The sequence below is a fragment of the Homo sapiens genome, chromosome 20, assembly GCF_000001405.40.
Source record: "Homo sapiens chromosome 20, GRCh38.p14 Primary Assembly".
Lineage (NCBI taxonomy): Eukaryota > Metazoa > Chordata > Mammalia > Primates > Hominidae > Homo > Homo sapiens.
This window is the reverse complement of record NC_000020.11, coordinates 14746708-14759896: the sequence shown is the minus strand read 5'-3', so window position 1 is coordinate 14759896 and position 13189 is coordinate 14746708. Positions and strand designations below refer to the sequence as shown.

Here is a 13189-nt window from a genome sequence, read left to right as displayed (position 1 = left end):
CCTCCTTGATAATCAGAAAAGCACCTACCATTAATGATATATTTATAAAAAGAAGGGACAACTAATATACAGTGGAGTGAAATCACACAGTACAATAAATCCTCCTCCCTTTAAAGATACCCAGAATTTCTCTCCAGCATCTACAAGAACCTGCGTATCTACGTCCTGATTTCCTAATTATACCATTTTTGTCTTAGCCTTCAAAATTAAAATAAGGTAATTTTTGTGCTTTTATTTCTATTTTAAGATGTAAAATAATATTTTCTGTAATTTGTCACTGTAAATTAAAATTATTTCTTATATACTATGGGCAAAACAGGTTTTATGGGCTAACCTAGCTGTCATTTAGAAACTTGATTGTTCATGAAAATGAACTCTGCATTCTAAATGACTAACTTATAAATACACCTTTATAATAGAATCTCTTTGTATGTTGAAAACTCTTTGAATATGAAGATAAAGCATAATGTGATATTGTTATGCAAATGATGGCATGGAATATCTACCTAAACATTAATGATGTCTTTTCCAAGATTATTAATTAATTTTTGTACTAGATTAGTTATGCTATCAAATACTCTTTAAAATTTTTCAGCAGCTTCCTATGTAGTAGAAATTATTTAAGAAAATTAACTCAAATATAAGGTACATAAGCATATGAAGAGTGTAAGACCTTCCCAATGTCTAGTTTTGATACGTCTAATGGCATATCAAAAATACCTTATAAATTCTCCTGTTGTGCTAATGACTTGAAAATTACAATGAGCCAGAAAAGCAATCTATACAGTAATTAATGAATTAATAATCTACCTCATTTCAAAAAGGCACGCAAGTCAGCTTAACAGAAAGCATATAATTAAGCAAGGTACAATGAATTGAATATGAACTTGAAAAAGGAGATAGAAAAAGGAGAGTAAGATGGAGAGCATAGGTGGATTCATACAGAGATACATGCCATGAAATACTGCAATTATAAGTGGGCCCCCATATTTGGTTCTTAGAGTTATAGAAGCCAACCTAAAGAGAGAAAAAAATGATCAATTTCAAGATTTGCAGTGTTTACCTAATAAAAACTACTTTAATAGTACTTATCTAAGGATGAGAACAAGTATCTCTGATACTGAAATCCTAAAGAGATCCTCAGTATTTTCTATGATATTCTTAGAGTAATTCCAATGATAGGATCCACAGTGAGACTCAAATCCTCTCCACACAAGGAGATGGCAGCACACTAAAGCCTAGCTGGATAAAAACCAGCTCCATGGGAAGCTATTAAAATGCTGTACAGTGCATGGGTCCCCCAGTGGATTTGCTCAGTCACAAACTCCTTTAAAGCATCTGTTATAATATATGAACTAATTATCTTTAAGTCAATCTTACCTAAATATTCAATCCCAGTCCACGTTTTGAAATGTACTGAGCATTACCAAATTCACAGGCCTGAATCCAGCTACTTAGTATGGCTGTGGAAATACAGGACTGCATGCTTTAATAAGCCGTGAAGCTCAGGGAAGCATTCTGGGCATGGAATTGCCATTGTATCTGAATGCAGATTACTTCTGCTTTCCAGAATAAACAAATGTTGAAATTATCCTAAAATGGATAATGACATTACAAATACTGAAGTGAGTAACACTTAATATTCTATAAATCTAGTGGCACAAGTGATCTTCTGGTTAAACAAAAGAAATACGCAGCAAAGGAGACACTAGAAAATGGAAATTACCTGTGTTTATTTTTTTAATAAATCTGAAATCAGTGAGGGTTTAGATTTTTTCTTTTTTTTTTTTAAGCTTTTTTGGCTGGATGTTTATACAATGCAAAATAACCCTCTCCAAATTTATTGAGGTGGCCGACCATGTCCATGACCAAATTCGCCTCTAAACTGGAATTCAGTTGCTGACCCAGTCCCAGCCTCGGCTTTCTTGTCGGCACCAGGGGGCACAGCACTCCGTCTGTAGGTATCTCTGTCGGCTTTCCCTCTTGTGAGTCTTGCAGGTCACTCACCCTTCAGACCTTTAGGCCGAGGCCTGCCAGTCCCTGGACGGCTACGGCATAGAGTGGCAGGCACAATCTCCGGGGGCAGATGAAGGTAATCACGGAGATACTGGATACCCTCATTGGGAAGGTACCAGTAGAAATGTCTCCAGGCAAACTGTGCCTTCACGTAGCCTCGGGACTTGAGAGACTGCATGGCCTTTATGACAGGAAGGTTGGACACATTCTTGTCTGACAGCTCCAGGTGCTTAGGCATGTGGATGTCCTTGGCCACCATGACTCCCTCCTTAAAAAGGAGTCATAAATGGCAATCTGGTTCTTCTTAGGCATCAACATCTTGATGGCTGTAGGGTCCGGGGCCAGGGCCTAGATACAGTCTTTTAAAAAGAGACATATGGGATCTATTTTCTTTAATGCCTACCTAAGAAAAATAACGTTATTGTCCAAAGTTGTACTTTTTAATCTTTTGAAACTAAATGAAATTTACTCTTCTAAATTCCTTAGTACATTTGAGAGTATTACGACTGAATTTCTAATTTGTTTCACAGTGCTTGTTTTGTTTTTCAATTTGCTATAGAGAAGTGAAATATAATAATTAAGATTTTAATTTACTGTTACTGAAAGTGATTTCCTTTTAAAGTCATAACTGTATTATTCATTTGCTATGTTTTCCTAAAACTTTGTATTACTTCTTTATTTCTATTATGTTAGGATAACAAATGAAGGAAACAAAACTCTACAAGACACCTTTATTTTCTTTCAGATATTTAATTCAAAAATGTCATCTTTTGCAATAAACATTATATTAGTCCATTCTCATGCGGCTATGAAGAAATATCTGAGATTGGGTAATTTATAATGGAAAGAAGTTTAATTGACTTCTGCATGGCTGGGGAGGCCTCAGGAAACTTACAGTCATGGTGGAAAGGGAAGCAAACATGTCATTCTTCACATGGTGGCAGGAGAGAGAAGAATGAGAAAAGAGCCAAGGGGAAGCCCCTTATAAGACCGTCAGATCCCACGAGAACTCACTCACTATCACGAGAACAGTATGGGGGAAACATTATCTCCACCTGGTCCCACCGTTGACACGTGGGATTATTACAATTTAAGGTGATATCTGAGTGGGGACACAGAGCCAAAGCATATCACTTATAAAAGAGTATAACATTGTCAAGATTCAGAATTTAAACATTGTCTTTTTTTGTTCTCATGGTATTTGTTAGAAATATTTTCATAAAGCTAGGAGCAGTAGTCTAAAGCCTCATTAGATCAAGATTGAGGAAAACAGGTCAGTCACTAACCATGAAGGGGCTTGACAAGCTTCCAATTTACAGTTGAAATTCATACATTATAATTTTTGTGATAACCTCCCATATGTCAAACTAACTATTAGTACCAGGGATATAATTAATAATCAGGATACATAAGGTTCCTACTGTCATGAAGCTCACTACCTAAGGAGAAAAGCCAACACATTTTTACAAATCATAAATTATGTCAAATGCAATGAAGACAATAAACAGATGCTGTGAGAAAAATAAGATGAAATGTTGAATTTAGAAAAGTGGTCAGACAATACTATTCTGAGGAGGGGACATGATTAAGCTCAGACCAGAAGAAGGAGTAACATACATAAAAAGTAACCTAGAAAGAGGGAACAGAAAGCAAGATTCAGATATGAAAAAAAAGCTTGACATAATTTAGGAATTGATGGAAGCCACGGAGTTTAGTAAGCAATGGTGAGACAGGAGATGTTTCTGGTCACTGGAGATGCCAAATCATGTAAGGCCTAAAAGTCTCAGTAAGATTTTTTATTTTCTTGTAAAATAAATGGGAGAGAAACAATGAAAGACTGCATGAGAGAGGCAAGGATAAGGGAAAGTATTTAGAAAACAGAATGAATTAATGAAATTTTGCCCCCCTTAATAACTCACATTACTAGTAAATCTTAAGAGATCAGTTTTGAAAGCTACAGAAATCTCAGATAAACAAAAGCAACTAAATTGAGTATAACACATATAACAAATGTTATGTTCAGAATATGGACAATTTGGGTTTTCTTGAAGTTCTTCCTATTGATAGAATATTTATTTCCTCTTAATTTCATACATCCACAGGCCTCCTAGATTCTTAGAACTATGTTTTCCTCCAAAGGAAAATAGACATAGAAAAGTACCCAGGGTAATATAATAAACACTTCAGTTCTCACCATCAACAGTTTTGAATTTTTCAGACTTACTTCAGCAATAATGTTCATTTGACACACCTTCTACTAAATTTTGACCCTCTCCAAAGCAAGCTAAGTAATCCTTTCAAAAATTAAGTTATCTTTTCTTGGTAGATAAGGCTATATAGTCAATGAATTTACTAGACTTTATTAATCAAAAATTCACGTAGCCAATGCTCATGAGGGCTGCAGTTCTCAGGTCATTTTACATCTAACCTAAAAACATATAAATAAGAAGTTGTTAGGCACTTGTCTCTGATTTTAAAAGCATACATGGCATTCTAAAGTACATGAGGCAAGAAATGTGCCCACCATGGTAACCTCATCCGAAATGCCCCAGAGGAGGAATGATGAGAACATGGCTGAGGTGAACTCATCAGAGATGGCCCAAAGCTGGAGTGGTGAGAACATGGCTAAGGTGACCTCATCTAAAATAGCCCAAGGCCTGAGTGGGGAAAGCAACAGGAAAGAGTGGACTCTCCCACTCTGATGGAGTATTGGCTCCAGCACACATCACTCTGGTTTCTCCACCCACCCTAATTTCTAAGGATGATCTTAGATTCAGATTGGAAGATTCTGAACTAGAGTTGTCACTTCCACCAAGGAAGAACCTGTGCTTTGATTGCTCAGCTGTTTTCAGCTGATAAGTGAATCAAGATCCCCTCAGGACAAAGCTGACATTACTTTTGCTTATCGTAAGCCATTTTTAGGGTCATGAGACCTTAAAAACACCTTCATGGCACATCTGTCAATAAGCAACAACAAAAAAATAGAAAATTTGTTCAAGTTGGGTATTCGGCTTAACAAAAACTGTGATCCTTAAGTTCATGGAAATCCACTATCCCCTTGGTATTCCTCAAAAAAAAAAAAAAATCACTTTACCTAAAAATATCCCACATGCAAGAGTTTATAGATCCTGGAGTGACAGATATTATCTGATTTCAAATATGCAATAAACCAAAGAAAATATTTTTCAAAATGTTTATTCTATGGGCCAGAGTGTTCTTGAGGAAATTATTTTAGGACCCCAGAGTCTTCAATTAAAGGGTTACACACCATTTTCAGTTTATAGCCCCGTGTATAACTAAGACAACTACCAGATGAAAAGAGACTCTGTGCCCACCAGACATTTAATATTCTACTCTCCACACTCCCTAAATGAGAGAAAGTGAATATAAGCAACTAGTAATTGACAGCAACCACTAATTGACACAGATACAACTATCTCATAATCCATTTACTATTTTACTAATCCTTTCACCACAGTTAATAACATCTCTTGGAAGCTGAGGTCTGAGACTGAATTAGATGCATGCTACTTTGGCTTCCCTTCCAAGAAATTAGAAAAAGCTCAGGACATGATAGATCTGTATAGATGTTTTCAGAGAAAATAACTGCATTTTTAAATAAAGCAATAACAACCATCCCGGTGAAGGTGGAGACTATGTCCATCTCCATGATGACCATTCTATTTGCCAAGGGTACCATATTATTTGTTGAATTAATGCTGGATCATCTGGCATACAACATGGTAACTAGAAATATAAAAAACATTTATTAAATAGTGATAACTTCCAACTGGTAGCTTACTTTTATGGAAGTATTTTACTTCATTAAAAATAATTTGTTGATTTCCATCTGCCTCTCCATTCCCATTTTGGTTGTTATTATTTTATATCAGCATAAAACCCCAGAGACTGAACACTCATCTATTTTTGCCACATATTTCCTGTTATCAAGTCACAGTTCCCAGTTCATGAAACAAAAATTTGGACATGGTGTTTTAGGGGATGGATATATATATATATTTGTAAGTACCTAAGTCCTCAAATTGCTCAACACTAACGAATGTGACTTCTACTGAATAAGGCAGGATTGTAAAGGATTGTCTTTTATGGTCTGATATTACCCATTTTAACTCAAAAATCTCTGTTTTATTAAAGCAACTGCCTAGCGATAACTTTCTACAGAAAAGTGCCACCAATACTATAAGCTGTCAGATAAATCATGATAATGTAAAGCAAGAGTTCTCTGTTTTTTCTCCGTATGACTTTTTTTAAACAGATGCCTCTGGTATAATTCGACTATGTAAGCACTAAAAGAAAGCAATAAGTAAAAATAGAATATGAAATTTGAATTAAAAATGATAACCTTTTTAGATATTGATAGTAATCTATTTAAGCTCTAAAAATTCAAAGTTTCCCTTTATAAATATACATGCATGCACACATATTAATACACACACACCTATACTTACACATTTGTTGAAAATATATTGAACATATTTTATGTACCAGGTCCTAGGTTGGGTGCTGGTAAGGCAATGAAAATCAAAAGCTGACATGAAACTTGGTCTTCTCAAGCTTGCAGTCCAGAGGGCAGAAAGATTTTCATGAAATAATCATTAAAAAATGCAAACTCATCACAGCAATCAGCACTGCAAAGAAGATATATATGGTGTATAGTAGAGGCATGTGGTCTTGAGAAAACTGGAAGAACCTGCTTCATTTAGAGGCAGGGGTTTTCTGTCACAGGAATGAGGTGGGTTCAGAAAAATAAATAGGAGTTAACTAGGCAAAGACAGGGAGGATGTGCACGTGTCTGGCTCTGAAATGCAGGGGAGCTAAACACAAGTGAGTGCAACCCTCAAACAATGGGGAGCCAGTGGATATATGCAACTAGGTGCTTATTCTTCAGGCATATAATTATGGGTCCTAATCTGCAGACTTTCTAGATGTGCTATGAAATCAGACCACCGTTCCCTAGAGAGGCAAACTCAATCATACACTCTTACAATGGCTTTTGCTTGTGTTATTTTGTTTTTTCCTCATTCTCCTTATTCCCTCACTCCTACTTCCTGGCCTCATATTCCAAATAAATGCCCTACAAAATCTGTGTCTCATGATATGTTTTTTGCGGAACTGCAAAGTAATACGGTTAAGCATGGCATGAGACAGGGACAAAAATGCATATAGGTCTGTCAGGCATTTTACCTCTATCCATTCAATGGAAAGTCCTCGAAGTATTTTAAAAGGAAGGAGACATTATTAGATGTGCTTTTCAATAAGATTTTTCTGGCTCCAATGCAGAGAACAGATCAGATGGGGGCAAAAGGAGATGAGGTTCAGAAGATAATACAATGCTACAGGTGAGAGAGAATGGTGGATTAGACTAGGGAGAAACCACAGTGACAGAAAGAAGCAGATACATTCCAGGACTATTTAGGCAATAAAATCAATAGAGCTTAATGAGAAAAGAAGTGTTGAGGATGAGTCTTATTTTTTTTTGGCTTCTATAACTCAATGGATGTAGTAGGATTCACTGAGCTAGGGAGCACTGAAGAAGTCTGGGGGTACAAGAGGGAATAATTATAAATGTTTTAAATTTAAATTTAGGCTTAAGTTGAGTCTGAGGTGTCTTTGAAACATCTTGGAAGAAATATAAAATAGGTAATTAAATATATGGTTTTGAAACTAAGGGAACAATTTAAGCATCTCTGCTTCAGCTTTATTTGGGTGGCAATGAGTTCCAGAATCATGGATAACACTAAGTAGAGAGGCCATATTAAAAAAAAAAAAAAAAAAAGATGAGGAGATGGTGGTACCAGGTCTTGAGAAAGCTGGACCAGCAAAGGAAACTAAACAAAGGCAGCCAGAGGGATGGGAGGAAATCAAGACAATGTTTCATTATGGAAGCCACAGGAAGAGGGTATTTCCTAAAGAAGGCAAAAGCCTATAGTACTCATTGCTACTCCAAAGGTAGGTAAGATTATTATGGTAGATGATGTTCTTGGCCCCAGTTCTTCCCCTCTTCATATATCCACATTCTTTACTGTGTGACTTTGCAGTTTCACCCACAAAAATCAGTGGAGTATAGTTTCTTTTGTTCAAGTGACTTGTTTTAGCCAAAAGAAAAAGGAAAAATTGATGGCATGTAGGATCTGAGCATTTCCACTTGCCCTCTTGTGCTTCTGCTCTTCCCATGAGAAGGACACGCCTGTCTAGCCATTGAGTTCCAGAAGAAATAGAGACAGCAGGGCAGAGCCCAAGGGTGGAGCGAACTCACAGGTACAAGAACTAGGCAGTGCTTTATTTAACTTCAGAATTGTTTGCCCCTGAAGTTTGACATTGTTGATTATGCAACATCATCTGGACAATAGAAAACTAGACTAAAACCTGTCTGCTAGATTAAGGATGTCGGTCACTAATTGGTACAGATCAGTTTTGCTATGCAAAGAAGAAAAGAGACAGAGTAATGGAAGAAGCACATGGATTTGAGGGAAGTTACATGTGTACATGTGCTGTGTGTCTTAAATGGCTGTAAACATGTCAGTTAGAAAGATCAAAAAAAAAAGGGAGGAACTGAATACTCAAGAATAAAAGAGAAGATCTGATAGGTGCCATTTGAGAGATTAGGTAAGGTGTAATGGGATTTCACATTAAGGATGGCACAGGCCAAGGGTGGGGCTGGGAGGCCAGTAAGGAAGCCCAAGGAGGGCTGGGCTCATGAGCGCTCTCCACCAGTGACAGTCTCAGGTGTTATTCACATTGTGCTTATTTCCACCAGTATGAAACAAGTAAAGTTCAGTTAAAGTTTGGTTGAATGTACTCTTTAGTTATATAAGCGATATAAGATCTATAATAATATAAGATCTTATTATTCTTTAATTAAAAGCCTGACAGGGAAAACAAACAAAAGAAAACTTCAACTGTACATGGGATCTAGTATAGAATGCTAAAAAATTACAATACTAAAATGGAGAGGAATAAGTAAAAGCAGACATATTTATCACCAACCAGATTAGTTATTTGTTAGTGATTTATAAAACATATTTTATAAAGATAATATAACCAGTTTTGGTGTATTTTGTTATACTCTGATTATTTATATTAATTAAAATAATTGGTTACGGCCAGGCATGGTGGCTCACACTCGTAATCCCAGCATTTGGGAGGCTGAGTTGGGTAGATCACTTGAGCCCAGGAGTTCAACACCAGCCTGGGCAACATGGCAAAACCCCATCTCTACAAAAAATACAAAAATTATTTGGGTGTGGTGGCATGCACCTGTAGTCCCAGTTACTCAGGAGGCTAAGGTGAGCAGATCACTTGCGCCCAGGAGGCAGAGATTGCAGTAAGCAGATTGTGCCACTGCACTTGAGCTGGGATGACAAAGTGAGATCCTGTCTCAAACTAATAATAATAATAACAACAATAAATAGTAATAATTGGTTAGAACACTCTAACTTTTAATGATCGTAAATAACATGTTTTACACTATTATTCTAATAAATGTAAATTACTGAAGATTAACGTTTTTATGAAACATGACAATATTCAGAGAAACATCAACACTGTTTTAACTAACTTTGAAAAAGTGAATACAAACTGTCTATAATTTTATAGTGTTTCTAAATCATTTAACATCTCAAATGAGTTTATATGATAAAATACACATAATAATTTTGTATTCTAAATCTAGATTTTTGTAAGATATACAATTAAGAGGCTAAACAATAAGGATAATTTGCAAAACTAGAAGAATATTCAAGTTTCTTATGAATATTTCTTTTCTTTTTGAAAATTGTGATTAAAACACACAACATAAAATTTACCATCTTAAGCATTTGGAAGTGTATAGTTCAGAAGTGTTAAGTATACTCATATTTTTGTAAACAGATCTCCAGAACATTTTCCTCCCACAGATCTGAAACTATGTACACATTAAACAACTCTTCTTTTCTCCATCCTCCTAGCCCCTGGTAATTACCATTCTACCTTCTGTTTCCATGAATTTGATCACTTTGATAGCTCACATAAGTGAAATCTTTCCCTAATAAAATTTACCCCAAGGTACCACTTTCTATTAGAAGATTCATGTTTATGCCTCATCACAAATAATGCTTAAAATCTATTTATGTATGCCTATATGAGTAAATAAAACACTCTATTACTAAAATGAAGTCATTATTTGAGAAAGGAATAAACAGATCATTTAGATTAAAATTTATATTGATATTTTCTAAGTTACATATTCAGTTACAGATTATTGTTTTTAGTTTTGACTGAAATATGCAATAGTACTCAACTGTTCACATATTATATTTTGGGGGTATACTTTGAAGTTCAAAGAATCATGATATAGTAGATTAATCTTCGAGAATTTTCTACAGTTAAAATATCATCTCTCTAAGCTTCTGGTGATACACACTTAGAGATCCTTCCTTCCTTCCTTCCTTTTCTTTTTTTCCTTCCTTTACTTCCTTCCTTTTCTGTTTTTCCCTTTCTTTTTAGTATATTAGGAAATATAAGCTATGTAATTTATATCCAATCATCTCCCTGGCACTAAGAAAGTGTGAGTGCAGCCCAGACAGAACTTGCTTAAGTTCTGTTGGCAAATACAAGGGAGTAGGAGGCTAGGCACGTTTTCATTACATAGCATATGACGTACGAGCTGCAGAAATGGTTGCATTTTTAATTTTCTAATGGCATGGGTTATACGGCAATTTCCTTCCAGGTAAAATGAATAAGTCCTGAGAAAAATACTGAAGTATTTTAGTGGTGTTTGTGTCACTATGTTAACTATTATTTGTATGAGACAAAACACAAAGAGGAAAAGACAAATAGATGAAATCATAAGAGATTTGTTAGCAAAAACATTTCCTTTGTGAAGGGCATAAACTATAAATTAATGACTTGGGTGGGTGGCTGAAATCAACACAAAGATCCACAGTGTCCTATTGTTAATGTCTACACCTGTGGGTTCTATGGAGGCATCTGGTTTTCTCAGTTGCTCTAGACTACCGTGGTGCATGGATGGCAGAGATGCTGACTGTTCCTCAGGACCATTCCTGCCTCCTACCTAAGAACTGTAGTCTGCTCAATGCAGCAAGCCAAGGGCAGCTCTCCACTTTAGAATTTCTAAAGCCAATTCAACTCAAAACAGCATTAACTAGTTTGGAAAGTTCATAGGTACTAATACAATTTTGACATAGAAGTAGGCAAATTTCTTGAGATATAAAGGCTGTCTAGAGTCCACCCTTATACTAAGCAATGATACATTTAAGTCAATTTATTTTATTTAACAGTTCTCTACATCTTCTCTGTGCACTACTTAAGTTTCTTAATAGTCAAAGGTATGCATTAAAGGTGACCTCCCTACAAAGACATGTTAAGATACAAAATTTCTGCTTCTTGATAGTTCGTGACAAATATTTACAAAGACCTACTAAGTGTTAGGCACTGAACTAGGCACTGGATACAGTGGTTAATTCATAGTCTCTGTCTTGATGGAGATGGTTTCTTGAAGGGGAAGACAACCATTTAAAAAGGAGTTCCCCAATGAGTTATGTACTTCAAATTGTGACAGAGAGTAAAAATAATGAAAAGCAGCAGCAAAATATGCTTTGAGTGTGCTTCTATCTCAGGGTCTGGCCTAGCCTGACTGGGAAACATGTTCAGGAAAGGTTTTCGTGAGCACATGACATGGGCATGCTAAGAGGCGTGTAGGAACTAACTGGGTTAAATGAGGGGAGAAGAGCACTCAAGACAGGAGAAGGAAAGGCTCATCAAGGATCCTCCTATGAGAATCTTGTATATGTGGTACATCTGGTACAAAAGCTCATTTCTAAGATTATAATGGTTTCCTTAGACAGGTATATGGCTTCCTCCAAAGAAACATTTGAGAACTGCATCCTTTCCTCCTGAGACAATTCTCAGGAAACTGTCAGAAAAGCCAAATCCAGAAAGACCACCTTGGTTTGACTTTATTACACGTGGATACTGTCCTAGTAGACATGCAGGAGAGGCTCCTCTATTGACATCCCTTCTTCTAGAAGTTCACTTTCTCTTCCATTTGACGTTCAAACTTTTCCCATTATAACAACAGAGATAGGAGCAGAGGCACACCAAGATTGAGATCCCTTTTTTGTCTCTGCCTGAGAACCTCTATCATACCACTCTAATCTGCTCCCATGCTCTCCTGAGATTCTCCCTTGGCCTCCCTCCTTCCACCCGAGCAAGAGCCTCAGGGGCAAAAAAAATGGCAGAAAAAATGAGCTATTTCTTATAAAGCCTTCCAGTGAGTGAAATGCCTGCTCTTTACCAAGCAATCCTACTTAGGTGAACTTGAATCTGTAGCTGACTCTGAAATTGTAAAGGGGAAGAGAGGGTGGCAGAAGCCTTTAAATCTAATCTAGTTTCAGGTCTTCACTCACCCAGTCACCTAGTTGTCAATCTTTCTACTCCTCATTCTAAGACCTCACTACATCCTGACAACTTATAAACAATTTTGACTCTTCATTCTCCTCTGCCTCTATCTTGATGCTTAAGCTCTATTACATAGTCCCCTGTCCCTGAGTAATTCTACCCCCAACCCCTGGCCCAAACAATCACAGTCACTGTTGATGGTTTATGGCTGGGCTGTGTTCTCACTTTGCTTCTTTTGAGGTTGGAGGAATGAAGACAGGAAAGTTCTCACTCCTACTGACAGGGCTGCTATAGAAGAATGAGCTCTGGGACTCCCAGCTTGGATCTGGCAAAGCACGCTACCTTTATAGGCACTGCTATTCATGTTGGTTTTGTTGGATAGCAGCATGAGGACTGGACATATGATGGGTTAAGTTGGCTTCTGTGGGCTATTCTGGGAACACACCCAACATTTGTAGCTTTAATTTTTCTATTGAAAACTACCTCTAAGTTCCAAATAACCAAATAACAAATGAGTTTTTGGAACACAATGGTTTGTAAGATGAGGGACTGACTGCAATGAGAATGAAACAATGTAGTTTGCTGGAAATTCAATTGAATTAACCCAAAAGCAGAAAGATGAAATTCGATTCCGCAAAGCCAAGTGACTCTTACGAAAAAAATACCATTAGCTAGTAAATTAGACCCTTTTTGAAACCTACAGTAACCCTTTCAGGACACATAGGTAGCAGCACATTAATGCGTTAATGGTTTG

The 13189-nt window shown here is 36.6% G+C and overlaps 1 protein-coding gene and 1 pseudogene across 3 annotated transcripts in view; both read right to left on the bottom strand.

Moving 5' to 3' along the window:
* Positions 1-13189, bottom strand: part of MACROD2 (mono-ADP ribosylhydrolase 2) — a 2057682-nt gene that overhangs the window by 1293301 nt on the left and 751192 nt on the right. The window lies entirely within an intron of this gene.
* RPS10P2 (ribosomal protein S10 pseudogene 2) lies at positions 1789-2364 on the bottom strand (annotated as a pseudogene).